Here is a 17,384-nt window from a genome sequence, read left to right as displayed (position 1 = left end):
GTAGCATAGGAATTGAATTTAATTAGAGGACACAGAGCTGGTATTTGCTGAAGAACTGATTGATTGCTTGGTGTTTGGGGAAATAGCCCTACACATCTGAGGTCACAGAGGTATTCTGTGTTGTGCAAATGTGGTAGGAAAGACAGGTATTTTTTCCTCTCTCTTTCCTCTCCTCTCTTCTCCTCTCCTCCCCTCGCCTCTCCTCTCCTCCCCTCCCCTCCCTTCCCCTCCCCTCCCCCCTCCACTCCCCCCTTCCCTTCCTCTCCTTTCTTTCTCTTTTCTTTTCTTTTCTTTTCTTTTCTTTTTCTTTTCTTTCTCATCGTCTCGCTCTTGTCACCCAGGCTGGAGTGCAATGGTGTGATCCTGGCTCACTGCAAACTCCACCTCCTGGCTTTGAGTGATTCTCCTGCCTCAGCCTTCCGAGTAGCTGGGATTATTGGTGCCTGCCACCACATCCAGCTAATTTTTGTATTTTTAGTAGAAACAATGTTTCACCATGTTGGCCAGGCTGATCTCGAACTCCTGACCTCAGATGATCCACCAGCCTCAGCCTCCTAAATACTCACCCTTTCTATTAGTTTTATGTTTCTATAGTTAATTTTGTCATTTTTATGCTATATTCCTCTTTCAATTTTCTAATTGAGTTGGGAAATAATCTATTAAATCAGATAAATCTTCTCACCTACCAACTATAGATACCATTACAGATAAATACATTTTGCAAAGTATATTTTCTCTAAATAAAAAGTAGCATTTTCTACAATAAAATTTACAAGTATTGATTCATGAAAATATTGTGATGAGAGCATCACGGTAACCTCACCCTATATTTCTCTTAGGAGAAATGGCTAAGTATTGGGCAAATTACTATCCAAAGCAACTTTATGGAATATAACTACTGTAAAAAAAGATAATCCACTGTATATCATCATTAAACTCTTTTTATGGATGGAGCATTGTAGGTCTCAATAAAACTTTGATGTCATATCAGGCATTTTTCTATTACATTACTTCTGATTCTTTCATATTTGATTATTGATTTTTGAGAGGAGAGTTAGCAAAGAAACTAGAGTGCTCTATCCATACAAAAGAGTTTAACTACATTTTATATATAATAGATTATCTTTTTTTACTGTAGTTATATTCTATAAAGTTGCTTTAGATACTAATTTGGCAAATACTGAGCCACCAGTCCTAAGGGAAATATAGGGTGAGGTTGCTGTGAAGCTCTCATCACGTTTTCATGAACCAATCCAACATAATTTTGTTTTAAATCAGCTTCTGTTAAAGACACCTCATTATATATATGGATTTGTTAATGTAATATATATATATATAATGATATGTTTTATATATAAATATACACATATATTACAAATAACTCATTATGTGCAGTATTTATAAGGAAACATTAGTCAAACAGGGTCTCACATTTTACTGACCCTGGGTAACAGGACCAAGACATTCTTTGGCTTTTGGCCTAAAAACAGTGCTATCCACTATGTTGATTTCATCAATCATCAGCTCATGAATCCCATAAATATAGTGAAGTTTCCATCTTTTTCATAGTTTCATCATGCACTGTAGATGCTATTTTAGCACTTTTCAGAGCATTCTCAGGTAAAGATCAGTGACTTTCCCCTTCTTATCTCTGGGTGTGTGCTATTGTTGATTTATTGACATTGAACTCACGTCAACAACGTTGCACTTCATGCCTGAACAAAGTCTATCTAATGCTCATATTTTCTCTGTAAGGCACATCATAGTCTTCTTGCACTTTGGAACACTAGACGGCACTTCAGCCCTACTCTTTAGGGCCATTTTAAACAGAAAATTCACTGACAAAAGACACAAAAAATTCAACAATATTTCTAAATAGATGGCAAAATGACACTCATTTACCATATGAAGGCTGAAATCAGAAGGTTAGGCTGGGCGTGATGGCTCACACCTGTAATCTCAACACTTTGGAAGGCCAAGGCTGGTGGAACATCTGAGGTCAGGAGTTCGAGACCAGCCTGGTCAACGTGGTAGAACTCTGTCTCTGCTAAAAATACAAAAATTATCTGGGTGTGGTGTCAGGTGCCTTTATTCCCAGCTACTTGGGAGGCTGAGGCAGGAGAATCACTTGAACCCATGAGGTGGAGGCTGCAGTGAGCCTAGATCACACTATTGCACTTTAGCCTGGGTGGCAAGAGCAAGACTCTTTCTCAAAATAAATAAATAAATAAATAAAATAAAAGGTGAGCACTGATTGTTCCACCTTATCTATGAATATACATACCTATTAGTTAAAATTTTTGCTACCCTTAAATGCCCAATAGTAATGATTTTGGGGTTATACATTGTATTAATCAGGGTTCTATAGAGGGACAAAACTAATAGGAGATATATAATCCTATTATTTTAGTATTCATTTTATTTTATTTATTTCTGTATATTTTAAGTGAGTACATATATACACATACATACATATATACACATACATATATATATACACACACATATATATATATACATGTGCATATGTGTGTATATATACTCACACACACACACACACACATATATATGGGAGTTTATTAAGTATTAGCTTACACAGTCACAAGGTCCCACAATAAGGTGTCTGCAAACTTGAGGAGCAAGGACAGCCAGTCCAAAACTGAAGAACTTGGAGTCCAATGTTCAAGGGCAGGAAGCATCCAGCATGGGAGAAAGATGCAGGATGGGAAGCTAGGCCAGTCTCTCTTTTTTCACATTTTTCTGCCTGCTTTGTATTTTTCTGCTGATTAGATGGTGCCCACCTAATTAAGGCTGGGTCTGCCTTTCCCAGCCCACTGACTCAAATGTTAATCTCTTTTGGCAACACAATACTTTGCATACTTCAGTCCACATTTGTTGAGACTCACTACCATCACACACGTAGGCCCATCCACAAATATGGATTCTGTTAATAATGAGGACCAACTATTGTATGATCTTTTTAAGAATAGATACAAATAACATAAATCAGATACTAACACTGCCTCTTAGAAGGAGAATCCAGTTACTAGTTTCTGTGACTCAGGTTTCCTTAGAATGGCCTCGAGTTCTGCTTACATGGTAGAGGGAGGAGAAATGGACAAGGACAGAAGCACACAGGAATCACATGAAATACCAGTTATTTCTGGCTTGTGTAAAGACAGTAGTAAATCAAAGCACATACACAAAAAGGGCAAGAAAGCTGCATGTTTAAGTGTAGATGTCCTTAGCAGAGATGAATGTATATGGAAATTAGAACAAAAGATAATTTTTAATCATGTACTAAATAGTAAAAAAGAATATGTGGTTAAAGACTTATTGTCCATTATGGGTATCAGAGACTATAATTCTTATTTTATTATGCATACATATAACTCTAAAGCCTTCAGGTTTTAAGAACAACAAAAATAGCTGTGAATTAAGTTTGGGGCAGGCTAGACATCAAAGTCCAACCTCTAATAAGCCTATCGTTTGTAATGCAAATATAAAAATAGAGCATTCCACTGCTTAAATAAGATGAATAATTGTCACAAAATGTTTTCATTTATCTATAAAGCTAAAAAGTCATTGAATATGAATATTTTTTAATTCTAATTTCCTGTTTTATTGTTAGTTTTTAGTTATAACCAGAAAAACATTAGTCACTTAATATATAGTGATTTAAAAATCATAATAAAAAGAATTTTTAAGAATAAAACTCTAAGACAATTTTAAAAACCAAAAAAAGGGTCTTATAAAAGGAATCTACAGAAAATGGATTAATTTCACATTTTTCACAAAGGTAAAGCAATTTAATATTAAGAAAAAGTATTACAAATTTTACATCACAAATAAACCAAGAGGAAATTATTTCTATAAATATTGAAGAAGAATCTGTTAGTGTATCCATGAAGAATTCTGATAGAGGCAAGAAGCAGATAAATTCCTAGGCACACAGGGGAGGGTCCTCAGTGAAACTCAGCCCTCAAACCAAAGACAAATTAAAGCCTTAAAACCAAGCTGTAGGTTCCAGGTAAAGTCCCCTAACAGAATGTGAACTTCCTCGATGCCTTTTCACCAATCAAGTGGTGCTTTTTCCAGGCCGCCCATGGAGCATTCAGCATGCACATCCCCATTCTGAGCACATAAATTCCTCAGACTCAGCCACACCTTGGGACTACCCTCTTTCAGGTAGGGGCTACACACTTCAGGTCCCTTCTTTCCTGAGAGCTGTTCTGTCACTCAATAAAACTCTTCTCTGCTTTGCTCACTCTTCAGTTGTCCATGTAATCTCATTCTTCTTGGACATGGGACAAGAACCTGTGACCTGCAGAATGGCCTATGCAAAAGGAGCTGTAATGCTTGTAGCCCTCCCACCCTCGCTGGAGCCGGATGGCTGCCCCACATGATGGAAGCAGCAGCAGGGCTGGACCAGCCTAGTAGCCGTGGGCTGGGGCAGGGTGGTGGGACTGAATGAACTGGTACACCGCCATTCATGGAAGCATGTGGATGATGGGAATGAATGAACTGTAACACCAACAAGCTGTGATCCTTCTGAGGCCCAGTCCTCGGCACCCTGAGGCAGAGCTGTTTCACTTCCTTAGGAGCTCCATGGTTGCTGGCATCTCCAAGTTTTTTGAGCACCATTGCATTCCCTTGTCCAGTAGCTGGTGCCCAAGGCAGAAGCCACTTGGGGTATGCCTGGTCCAACTGCAGCCTCACATGGAGCTGACACCTGGGGCTGTCTGCTATGCTGCAGCAGCAGGCATACCTGGCTATGTGCCATGGCCGGATCCCATGCTCACACACTCTCATTGCTCCATGTCTGGCTCACCTGCAGCAGATGTGAAATCCAGGCTGGTAGTGTGAGCTGAGCACAACCTGCTTGGCCAAGTGGGTGGAGCCAGCCCAGTGGTCACTAGAAAAACTCCAGCAGAGAACCTACTGACCACAGAAGTCTACAGCTGACAAAGCAGTACCAAAAGGATCCTCTGTCATTTCTAAGTATGAAGTCTGTACTCTAATCATTGTTGGCCATCTCTGCTCTTTCTCTGTTCAGGATGCTGTTACTCTCGCCCATACATATTTCTGTATATTTTAAGTGATATTCTTTAGAGATATCATTCCCAGTATTTTAATCTAAAACAAAAAATAAATAAATAAACCTTTGTTACCATTTATAGTTTTCCTATAAAATAATCAGTTGTTTTTCTGGTTGCTAATCTCTGAAGATTTACAGGCTGTTCATCCTACCTCTCTCCTTCCACAAACAATTGAACACATTTTGTTCATTTAAATTCTCCTTTCACTTTGTGAAATCTTAGCTTACCTTCATAGTTATAATTTTTTTACCTCTACTGTATTTATAGGTGCCAGATTTGACCTTCTTATTCTAGAGCATGCCATTCTGTTCTGCGCTTACTTGATTACAAGTTTCCTTCTCTAAAATATGTCTCATGGGGCATGAATTACGTCTCATTTCTTTTTTCTTCTATTTGAAATGTCTAGAGTGACACTACATAGTATTAAATTATGAAGACAAGCCATCCATATAAATTAATAACTTGTCTCAAATTTTTAATAATATCTAAATTAAAGTCTAGGGAAAAATGCAATGGTTTCTAAACGTAGTATTCTATTATTTCTGATTTTTTTCTAGCATTCTCCTGATAATGATATTTATTTTGTCCATTGCTTCACAGGCACCTCTACCCCAAAAAGCAGGCCATAATGAAAATAGCTAGGTTTTTTGTTGTTGATTGTTTAGTGACTATAAGGACTCAATCAAGTGGAGGATAAGATAATTATGCAATCAATCTGGGTAGGAAAATAGCAAGCACACAATGACTTTCTTTAAGTCATGCAAAATAGCTTTGAAACAAATCTAGAATTTGCTAATTATGGTTAAACTTTTTTCTTAATTTAAGTTGTATGACTTAACAGCCAGAGTTCATTTTCAACCCTAGAGCTAAACATTCTCATTGTTATGTATTTTAAATGGAACTTTACAGGCTTAAAGTTAAAATCATGACTGATGGAGTGTTGGCAAGATTTCAGTTCTAATTCTTCCAGGACTTAAATCCATTATAATAATTCTAATTAGAATAGTTATGAAAATTGAAGTACATTCTTTGCAGTTCAGAAGGTGGTGCATTTGCAATCCCTGTCAAAATATTATTTTTAAATATTGTTGTGAATAATAATTTTAAATTTAACAAGTACCATTCATAAAATACACATTTATAAATAGCAGGCCTGTTTCTATTACTTCCAACACAGCAATTCATAATGTAATGGAGTGAACATAAAATGATATCTAATCTCATTTTCTTTCCAAATTCCAAAATCCTTTGTCTATTCAATTCCATATTCAGAACATGAAGTAAAATAAGAAGAAAAGTTTCTTCTTGCCACTAACTAGAAAAATTGATGAAAGAAGAGAAGAAACAATTTTAAAGAGCTATATTTACAAAAACGAAAGTTTTTACAGAATAAGGAGAATTTTAGTATTGCAGTTCACCTAGCCCTTCATGTCTGTAACATCAGATATAAAGGAAGGTGATGATATCTAGACGTTTAAATCCTAATTCATCCTCCATAGCACCTCACTGTAGTTTGTGTCTCAGTTCAGTTTCTTGATAGACTTCTCATGCACGTATTATTATTCTCACATACTTATCATGATTGACATGCATAGTTCCAGAACCCAATGTCACTACCAAAACCTATATTAGTGAGCTGCTGCTTAAGTCATGAACTCTGGTTGTTTCTGGGCCTTGCCAATTGAACTTGATTGGGCTTGTTTTTCAAAGTGTTGAGAGTCTGTCTAGGAACTCACAGATAAGTAGATTACTTATTTTAAAAACTGGGAAGTTGTATAAAAAATACAAAAGAACCATGGAGGAACATATTGTACTTGAGTCCCCAAAGGACTGAATTATGTAAGAAGAGATATTTGAATAATGAGTATAAACTTGCCAAAGAATGAAGGTGGAAAAATTATCATCACTTTTGAAAGAAATAAAGAAAAAGGGTATGAACACTACCAAGAGAATATGAGACCAGTAATTGGTTTGGGACCTGAATATTTAAAAAGCATTTGACTAACATCAAGCACAGAAGCAAAGGTAATCCTCATACAGTCTGCTGCAAGGAATGGGTCAGAATAGGTATCTTTGTACTCAAATATGCATTAATACAGTGGAGCTGACATGAGGCATATTTTAACAAAACATTCTGTAGAACAAAGAAAAAAGCAAAGCAATTCTAAGCATCAAAAATGTCTACAAAAGAAAATTATTTATAAATAATTATACTGTTTGGTGCCTTAAAAAGTTGTAGCTTGTTCCTGTGACAGAGCTTCCAGGGGTAATAGGCACGCCTACCATTTTTAAGCTCTGCAATCCCTGCCCCTGCTGCCCTGAAGCTCAGGAGGGAGCAAAGCACTTAAGGCCTATCATTAACCTCCAGTACCATGCAACTGCCTTATGGAAAAGCTGAGACAGTTTTCCATAGCCATCCCTGCTCCAGCTATGCCTCATCGGGTGGGACCTCTTCATCTCAGACCCCAGCGACCCCACACCTGCCTGGGCTCTTGGGCCAGTAGCAGCTCTGCACTTCCTTGGGGCAGAGTTGCCAGAGGTAACAGGTAGGAGTGCCATTTTGCCACTCCACAGCCCCTGCCTCTGCTGCTGTAAGGCTTAGGAGGGAGTGAAGAGCTTAAGGACTATTGTGGATTTCCAGAACAGTGCACCTGCTTTATGAAAAAGCAGCCAGACTGTTTTCCACCTGTGTCCTTGCCTCTGTTACCCCTCACTGTACAGGGCCTCTCAACCTGGGCCCCCAGCACAACCATCCTGCCTCTATCTGAACACTTCAGTCAGTGGTGGCTTCCAGAGACAACACAAAATCATTCTGTCATTGCAGCTGCAATAGAACTGCCCTTGCTGCCCTCAGACTGGGGAAGGAACAAAGAGTGTGATTGCTTTACTTGCTCCTCCAGCATGCCAGAGTGACTGTATGAAGTGGAGCCCAGCCTCTCTTTCCTGGGAGACCACGACCCACTGCTCTTTGCTGGGCAGGGCTCCAGCTTGACCCTGCAGCGTAGCCACCCCATCCCTGCCTGAACATTTCTACTGGCAGTGGTTCTGTGCTTCTCTGGGGTGGAGCTCCCAGAGGCAATTGAAATTCCATCTGCCACTGCCACTGCAATAGTACTACCCTTGCTGCCCTTAGATTGGGGAAGAACAAAGATTATGATGGCTTTACATGCATCTCCAGCATGCTGCAGCTGCCCTACAGAGAAGAGCCAGTCTGTCTTCCCTATGGTCTCCCCGCATCTGTTCATCACAATGTAGGGTTCCCTGGATTGGGCCTGCAACACAGCTGCCCCAACTCAGGCTGATCATTCCAACTGTGTTTCTTTGGGGTGGAGCAACAAAAGACAAGTGAAAGTTCCTCTGCCATGGCCACTTTCAAGATCCCCACCCTGGCTGCCTGTGAGTTAAGGAAGACACATAAACCCTGAGCTTGTCCCAGGGCTGTGGTATGCAGCCCATGATTTGAGTGGGAGAGGAGCTCACGCTCTCAGAGTACTGAGAGGGAGCACAGCTGCAAATGCAAGAAAATACAGAGGAAACAAGTGGCTGAGCAAGAGCCTACCTATCAGCCATTAAGTTTAAGCACCACCTATGGGATCACAGCCCAAATATTAAAGCCAAAAATATTTTGCTAATGTACTCCCCCACCATCAAACCAAGGACAAAAATTCAGTGACAAATACAGATCCTGTACAAAGTTTCAGCCCTCTGAAAACATCCAGAAATGAAGACAACTGACTATCCTCAAATTATACCATAGTTAAAGGAACATCAGCCCACATGAATGAGAAAGAACTGGTGAAAAAGTCTGGCAACTCAAAAAGCCAGAGTTTCTCCTTTCCTCCAAACTGCACTGGCTCCCAGCAAACAGTTCTTAACCTGAAGGAAATGGCTGAAATAACAGACATAGAATTCAGGATCTGGATGGCAACAAAGATCATCGAGACTCAGGGGAAAGTTGAAACACATTCCAAGGAATCTAAGTTATCCAGGAAAATGAGTCAAGAGATAAAAGTTGAATTATCCATTTTAAGAACAAACCAAACCAAGAGATAAAACTGAAAAACTCACTACAAGAATTCTTAACACAATTGGAGGTATTAACAGCAATATAGACCACGCTAAGGAAAAAGATCTCATAGCTTGAAGGCAGATTCTTCTAACTAACTCAGTCAGCCAGAAATAAAGAAAAAAAAGAATTTAAAAAAAATATGGGAACATGTAGAGACAAAATCTACTACTCATTTGCGACCCAGAAAGAGAGGGATAGAGTGAGCAACTTAGAAAACATATTTGATAATATTGTGGCTGAAAATTTCCCCAATGTTGCTAGAGAGGTAGGCATATAAATTCAGAAAATTCAGAGAACCCCTTTGAGACATTATATAAGACGACCGTCACCAAGACACATAGTCATCAGATTACCCAAGAACAACATGAAAGACAAAATATTAAAGGCAGCTAAAGAGAAGGGGCAGGTCACCTAAAAGGGAACCCCATTAGGCTAACAGCAGACATTTCAGCAGAAACTACAAAGCTGAAGAGATTGGGGGCCTATGTTCAGCATCCTTAGGTACAGAAAAATTCCAACAAAGAATTTCATATTCATCCAAATTAAGCTTCACAAATGAAGGAAAAATAAAATCCTTTTCAGACAAGTAAATCTAAGGGAATTCATTCTTACCAGGCCTACCTTACAGAAGGTATTTAAGGGAGTGCTAAACATGGGAATTAAAGACCATTACCAACCACCACAAAAATACACTCAAGTGCATATACCATCTATGCCATAAGGCAAATACAAAATTAAGTCTAAATAGCAAACAGCTAACAATATGATGTCAGAATCAGATCGACACATATCAATATTAACCTTGAAAGTAAATAGATTAAAAGTACCAACTTAAAAGGCATGGAGTGGCAGGTTGGATAAAGAAGCAAGAGTAATTTTTATGCTGTCTTCAAGAGACCCATCTCACATGCAAGGACACCCGTGGGCTCAAAGTAAAGGGACGGAAAAAGGTCAATCAAACAAATGGAAAATAAAAAGAGCAGAGGTGGATATTCTTATTTTAGACAAAACCAACTTTAAACAAAAAATCATTGAAAAAGACAAAGAATTGCATTACATAAAGGTAAAGTCAACAGGAAGACTTAACTGTCTTCAATGTATATGCGTCTAACACTGGAACACCAGATAATAAAACAAGTTCTTAGAGACTTATGAAAACTTAAATAACCACACAATAATCCTAGGGGATGTCAACCCCCACTGACAGTATTGAACAGATGATCAAGGCATAATGCTAAAAAAGATATTCAGGATCTAAACTTGACTCTTGACCAAATGAACCTAACAGACATTTACAGAACAGTCCTCCCAACAAAAAGAGAATATACATTCTTATCTGCATATGGCGCATACTCTAAAATTTGCCACACATTCAATCATAAAGCAATTCTCAGCAAATTAAAAACACACACACACACTCATAACTACAGTACAAAAAAAAATCAATACAGAGATGATCTCTCAAAACCATACAATTAAAATGAAATTAAAGAACCTGTTCCTGAATGACTATTTGATAAATAACAAAATTAGGGCAGAAAGTAAGAAATTCTTTGAAACTAATGAAGACAAAGATGAAACTTACCAGAATTCCTGGGACACAGCTAACACAGTATTAAGAGGAAAGTCTGTGGCACTAAACACCCACATTAAAAAGTTAGAAAGATCTCAAATTAACATCCTAACATCAAAGCTAGAGGAACCAGGAAAACAAGAGCAAAGCAACCCAAAAGCTAGCAGAAGACAAAACATGACCAGAATCCCAGCTGAATTGAATGAAATTGAGATGTAAAAAGCCACACAAAAGATAAACAAATTTAGACTTTTATTTTTGAAAGGATAAATAAGATCAATAGACCCCTAGCTATGCTAATAAAGAAAGAGAAGATACAAATAAACACAGACAGAAATAACAAAGGAGACATTGCCACAGACCCCACAGAAATACAAAAAACCCTCAGAGGCCATTATGAACACTTCTATGAACACAGACAAGAAAGCCTAGTAGAAATGAATAAACTCCTGGAAACATACAACTGTCTCAGACTGAAACAGGAAGAAATGGAAACCCTGAACAGACCAATAATGAGTTACAGGATTGAGTTGGTAATAAAGAGCCTACCAACTAGAAGCAGCTCAGGATCCAACAGATTCATAGTCAAATTCTATTAGATATATGAAGAAGAGCTGGTACCACTCCCGTGGAAACTACTCCAAAAAACTGAGGAGGAGAGATTCCTCCCTAATTCTATGAGGTCAGAAGCCTTCTGATATTAAAACATAGCAGAGACACAACAAAAAGGAAAACTTCAGGCTAATATCTCTGATTAACCTAGAACCAAAAATCCTCAATAAAATACTAGCAAACTGAATCCCGTAGCACATTAAAAAGCTAATCCACCACTTATCAAGTGGGCTTCAGACCTGGGATACAAGGTTGCTTCAACATATAGAAATTAATAAATGTGACACAAAAATATAAAAAGAACTAAAAATAAAAACCATATTATTATCTCAGGCACACACAAAAGCTTTCAATAAAATTCAACAGCTCTTCACGTTAAAAACCTTCAATAAACTAGGCATCAAAGGAACATACCTAAAAATAATAAGAGCCACCTATGTCAAACTCACAGCCAGCATCATACTGAACAGGCAAAAAAGCTGGAATCATTCTCCTTTAGAACTCCAACAAGACAAGGATATCCACTCTCACTACCCCTATTGAATATAGTACATTTGTTGTGCAGAAACTCATTAATTTAATTGGCTGATGCTTGTCAACTTTTGTTTTTGTTGCAATTGCTCCTGGGGCTTCGCCAAAAATTATTTGCCAAGGCCTATGTTGCATAGTGTATTTTCTAAGTTTTTATCTAGAATTTTTATAATTTGAGGTATTAAATTTAGATCTTTAATCCATCTTGAGTTAATTTTTATATATGGTGAAAAGTAGAGGTCTAGTTTCATTCTTCTGCATATGGGTATCCAGGTATCTCATTACCACTTATTGAACAGGGAGTCCTCTCCCCATTTCATATTTTTGTTGACTTGGTCAAAAATCAGATGGCTGTAGATATGCAGCTTTGTTTCTGGGTTCTCTATTCTGTCCCATTGGTAATGTGGCTGTTTTTGTAACAGTATCATGCTGTTTTGGTTATGATAGCTTTATAATGTAGTTTGAAATTGGGTAGTGCGATGTCTCTGGCTTTGCTCTTTTCGCTTAGGATTGCCTTGATTATTCAGGCTCTTTTTTTGGTTCCATATGAATGTTAGAATCTTTTTATTAATTCTGTGAAGAATGACATGGTAGTTTGATAGGAATTACAATGAAAGCCTAATTTGCTTTGGGCAGTATAGCCATTTTAATAATACTGATTCTTCCAATCCATGAGCATGGAATGATTTTCCATTTGTTTATGTTGTCTCTGATTTCTTTCATCAGTGTTTTGTAGGTATCCTTGTAGAGATCTTTCACCTACTTGGTTAGCTGTATGTCTAAGTATCTCATTTTATTTGTGGCTATTGTAAATGGTATTGCATTCTTGATTTGACTCTCACTCTGAGCATAGTTGATATATAGACATTTTATTAATTTTTTTACATTGATCTTGTATCCTGAAACCTTACAAAACTTGCTCATAAATTGAAGTAACATTTTGGTGGAGTCTTTAGGGTTTTCTAGCTGTAGAATTTTATCATCAACAGAGAGAGTTTGACTTCTTTACTTATTTTGATGCCTTTTATTCCTTTCTTTTGCTTGATTGCTCTAACAAAATTAAAAGGAAAGCCATATGATTATCCAAATAGATGCAGAAAAATCTTTTAATAAAGTCCAGCACCCCTTCATGATAAAAAATAAAAATCCTTGACAGACTAGACACCAAAGGAACATCCTAAAAATAATAAGAGCCATTCATGACAGACACGCAGCCAACATCATACCAAACAGGCAATAGCTATAAGCATCCTCCTTTAGAATTGAAATAAAACAAGGATACCCACTCTCACCACTTGTATTCAACATAGTACTGGAAGTTCTAGCCATTACATTACATGAGTTTTTGGAACTAGAAAAACTAATTATTGCTGGGAAAAAAAAACTATAAAAGTGGTTGCCTTTGCTAGGGCTCAGAAAAGACTTGATTAAAAAAAGCATGAGAATACTTTCTGGACAGTATTAATGTTGTGTATCTTGGCAAGGGTTAGATTACATAAGTAGATGCATACATCAAATGGGAGCCAACATAAACATTTTATTGTATGTAAATTTTATTTCAAAAGAAAAAACTGTAAATAAAGACTTAACACTAGCTAGTAATATACATGCTAGGCTATCAAGGGAGAACTGTACTTATGTCTGAAAATTACCTTGAAATTCATTTAAAAAATTTAAATGGATTGATGTGAGGATAGAAAAACAACTAAATGGATAGATATGTGATAAAACAAATGCAGCCAAATATTAACAGTAGAATCTAAGTGATAGGTATAGATGGTCATTTCAAAGTTCTTTAAAATTTGCTGTTTGAATATTTTCATAAAAACATATTGAAAACATTAAACATACCTCTACACTGACAAAGTTATTCTATTTCTAGGTAGTTACCTAAGAGAAATGAAAACATTTATGCACAGAGCATGCTGTAAAAGAATATTTAAAGCAGCCAATAACTGGAAAAAGCCCAGGTACTCATATGAAGGTAAATGGATAAACAAATTATGTTAATATTTATACAATGGAATAACATTGAGCAATAGAAATGAACAATCTACTCATATATGCAACATTTGCATAAATCTCAAAAATATTATATTGGGTGAACAAAATATAGCACAAATTAATACATATTGAATGATTTTCACACACATGAAGTAGTACAACAGTCAAAATTAAGTTTCAGTAATACAAGTCAGTGTAGCAGTCACCTAAGGGATTGGGGATCTTTGCTTGGTGATGGAAGAATTCTATACTTTGCATGGAAACTTGGGTTATGTGGGTACATAAATTTATCAAAACTGATGTCACTGTATACTTAAGATCTGTGCATTTAAGCATATTTAAATTTTACCTAAATTTAAAAAAAACAAGAAGGAATGTGTATATGTGTCTATAACTGGAATTTCAAAGGTTCAAGAAGCTCTAAGATATATATTAAGAGCCCATTAGGACCATATTTATCAAACTGTAATGTGCACATAAATAATTTGGTGATTTTGTTATGCAGATTCTGATTCATCCATTGGGGATGTGGTCATTTTGCATTTTTAATAAGCTTCCAGGTCCTAGTAATAATACTACTGATGCACAGACTGCACTTTGATTATAGCAAGGGTTGGAGATGGAGATGTTAAAGCCAAAGAAAAACAATAATGGGGCAAATTGCTGTCTGCAAATATTAAAAGCACTCTCATGTGAAAGAGAGTTCTAGTTCCTCTCTCTTACTTTAATACATAGAAGAGAATATATGGTAAACTATTTATTAAGAAGTAAATATTTGATCAATGTAAATATATAACATTAAACAATTGGATACTCTTAATAATGCAAATTGTTGTTTTGTAATAATTGTGGCTAGAATTGATCCAGCAGGGACTTAACAACTCTTAAGAATATAGCAGAAGCCTGGCACACTGGCCCATGTCTGTAGTTGCAGCTACTCAGGAGGCTGAGGGACAGAGGATCACTTTAGCCCAGGTGTTCAAGACCAGCCTGGACAATATAGTGAGACACATGTCTCTTAAGAAAAAACAAAGAAAAACTAAAAACATACCTCTAAAAAGTTTAAACATACCTCTACATTGTGTGTGTGTGTGTTTGTGTGTGTGTGTGTGTGTGTGTGTGTTTAATTTTGGATCAACAGTCTATTAAATGGTCTGTAAATCCCTGTCATGTTTATTATTTTATTATCATGGGGAGGAAGATGCAGCTATTACAAAATAGATGTTATAACAAATCTGCAACTTGCATATATTTTGAATCCAAGAATATTAAAATGATTTGCACTTTTTAGTCAAGTATATAGACCCTTCAGAAAGTTTCATTTATATTTTTTTACATTTAGTTTAACCAAAAATATTAATATAATTAACTGAAATAAGGTTTCCTGGTTTTATTTAAGTATTTTGATAGTACATCACAATAAAAGTATCTTTAATCAAAATCTAATTTTATCATTAGAGTTTAGTCTCTCTCATTGGTCACTGTGTCTCTTCTTTGAATTTATACATAATGTTAAATTGTATTACTCTAACAAGACATTCACATACTGTGCTCATGATGTTATCAGGAGAACTTACTTTTCCCTTTTCTGGCAAAAGACATATTGTGCTACAACCAAAATAGCCTAATTTTGTTTCCTTTGTCACACTCAAACTAGGGCGATGTCATTCAGAAGAGTTAAGTATTCAAAAGATGTCCAAAATCACACAATTGTAACATTAAGTTATATCATTAAACCACCCAAGGGACCTGCTTGGAATCAATTGGTTTTATTCACAGGTTTCCAAATTTAAACTTTATGTAAGTGCCCACAATATTCACTCATTCTAAATCTTACCAATCACAAGTGGAAGCAACATTATATTTTTTCAGATATCACTTTTAAATTTTTCAAATATGTAATCATAAAACAGTTTGAAGTATGTAAACTTAAGCCACCATGAGTTGGGGAGTAGAGAAATCTGTAATATCTGTTTAACACATGTAACTTAAATGTATACATTCTTAAAATAGATGTCATAGAATATTAGATTACCTAGGGAAGCTAAAGAATGTTCTAATTTAAAATGAAGTTAAAAAGTAATTTTTTTTAATTCATTAATATTGAAAAAGCACTATAATAATCGATCAAAATTCCAAGGAAAGAGTATAGGATGACTCTATTTGTTCATAAAATCCTTGAGTATTTTTTTGTTATAATAATATTTTGTCTTTAATTTTCTACTGTTTTTACTTACACTTTATATTTGTTGCCTACTTTTGTAAAGAAATTGAAGAATGTCCTATTATAGACCACAAATGAAACAAGTCACTTAGATTTAGATGCATGAGAAAAAAAGAGAGAGAGACTTCCAATATTATACTAAGCAATATTTTTATTGAACCGATTTTAATCCTGTTTCTATCTTGACACAGAAACATAAAATTTACATTTAGGTATCAATTTATGAAAATACAAATAAAATGAATGCAAGCAATAGACAGCAAGGAACACACTTTTTTTTTGGCCTTAACAAAGTAAAAAATCATGATCTCTTTGGATTTCTTTTACAGTCAAAATATGAAGAGTTATATCAAATTTGTTAAATGTCTTCTCATGCTTCTTTCTATTTTAATTATAAAAATCAACCCAAAAAATGACAACAATGATTATAATATCCTTAGCTACTGTGGTCTACATTTTATATCAAGTTTCAGACAGATACTATTGGAGAAAATTTGGCTAATCTATCAATGCTTTCCTAGGTTAAAGAAAAATGTTTAAAGGTTGGTAAATTCAGTTGTGTTAACTTAGAAGGAACATTTTGAAATTACTAGGTTATTGATTTGAAATATAATACTGGACAATAAGAATTTGTCCATTATAAAAATAAAATTTATCCATTATAAAAATTTATCCATTACAAAATTAGTATTTCAAATATATGTATTAATATGTGTAAAATTATTAAAAAGTAAAATGAAAATGTTTTCTTAATTTTGTGATTAATTTGGTTATTTAGTAAGGGTAATTCTGTTGAAAATATTTCCATTTAAGAAGAAAGTGGGCATAACTGAAAATTATTTGATATTACTTATCATGTGTATGGTTTTATTAATAGATTAAGAGCGAACTAAAATGTAGTTTAAATTGCACAGAAGAAAACCATTTTAATTAGGAAGGTATTACAAATATTTCTTCATGAAAAATTATATATAGCCTCAAATCAAAATCTTCAGTATGTCAAAATGTCTTTCTTTTAAAATCTTTTTTTTTTTTGCCTTTTTTTTATTATTATACTTTAAGTTCTAGGGTACATGTGCACAACGTGCAGGTTTGTTACATATGTATGCATATGCCATTTCGGTGTGCTGCACCCATTAACTGTTCATTTACATTAGGTATATCTCCTAATGCTTTCACTCCCCCCTCCCCACACCCTACGACAGGCCCTGGTGTGTGATGTTCCCCTTCCTGTGTCCAAGTGTTCTCATTGTTCAATTCCCACCTATGAGT

The sequence above is a fragment of the Homo sapiens genome, chromosome 4 (genome assembly GCF_000001405.40).
Source record: "Homo sapiens chromosome 4, GRCh38.p14 Primary Assembly".
In the NCBI taxonomy this organism is placed as follows: domain Eukaryota; kingdom Metazoa; phylum Chordata; class Mammalia; order Primates; family Hominidae; genus Homo; species Homo sapiens.
The sequence above is the reverse complement of the archived record's forward strand: the minus strand, read 5'-3'. Positions refer to the sequence as shown.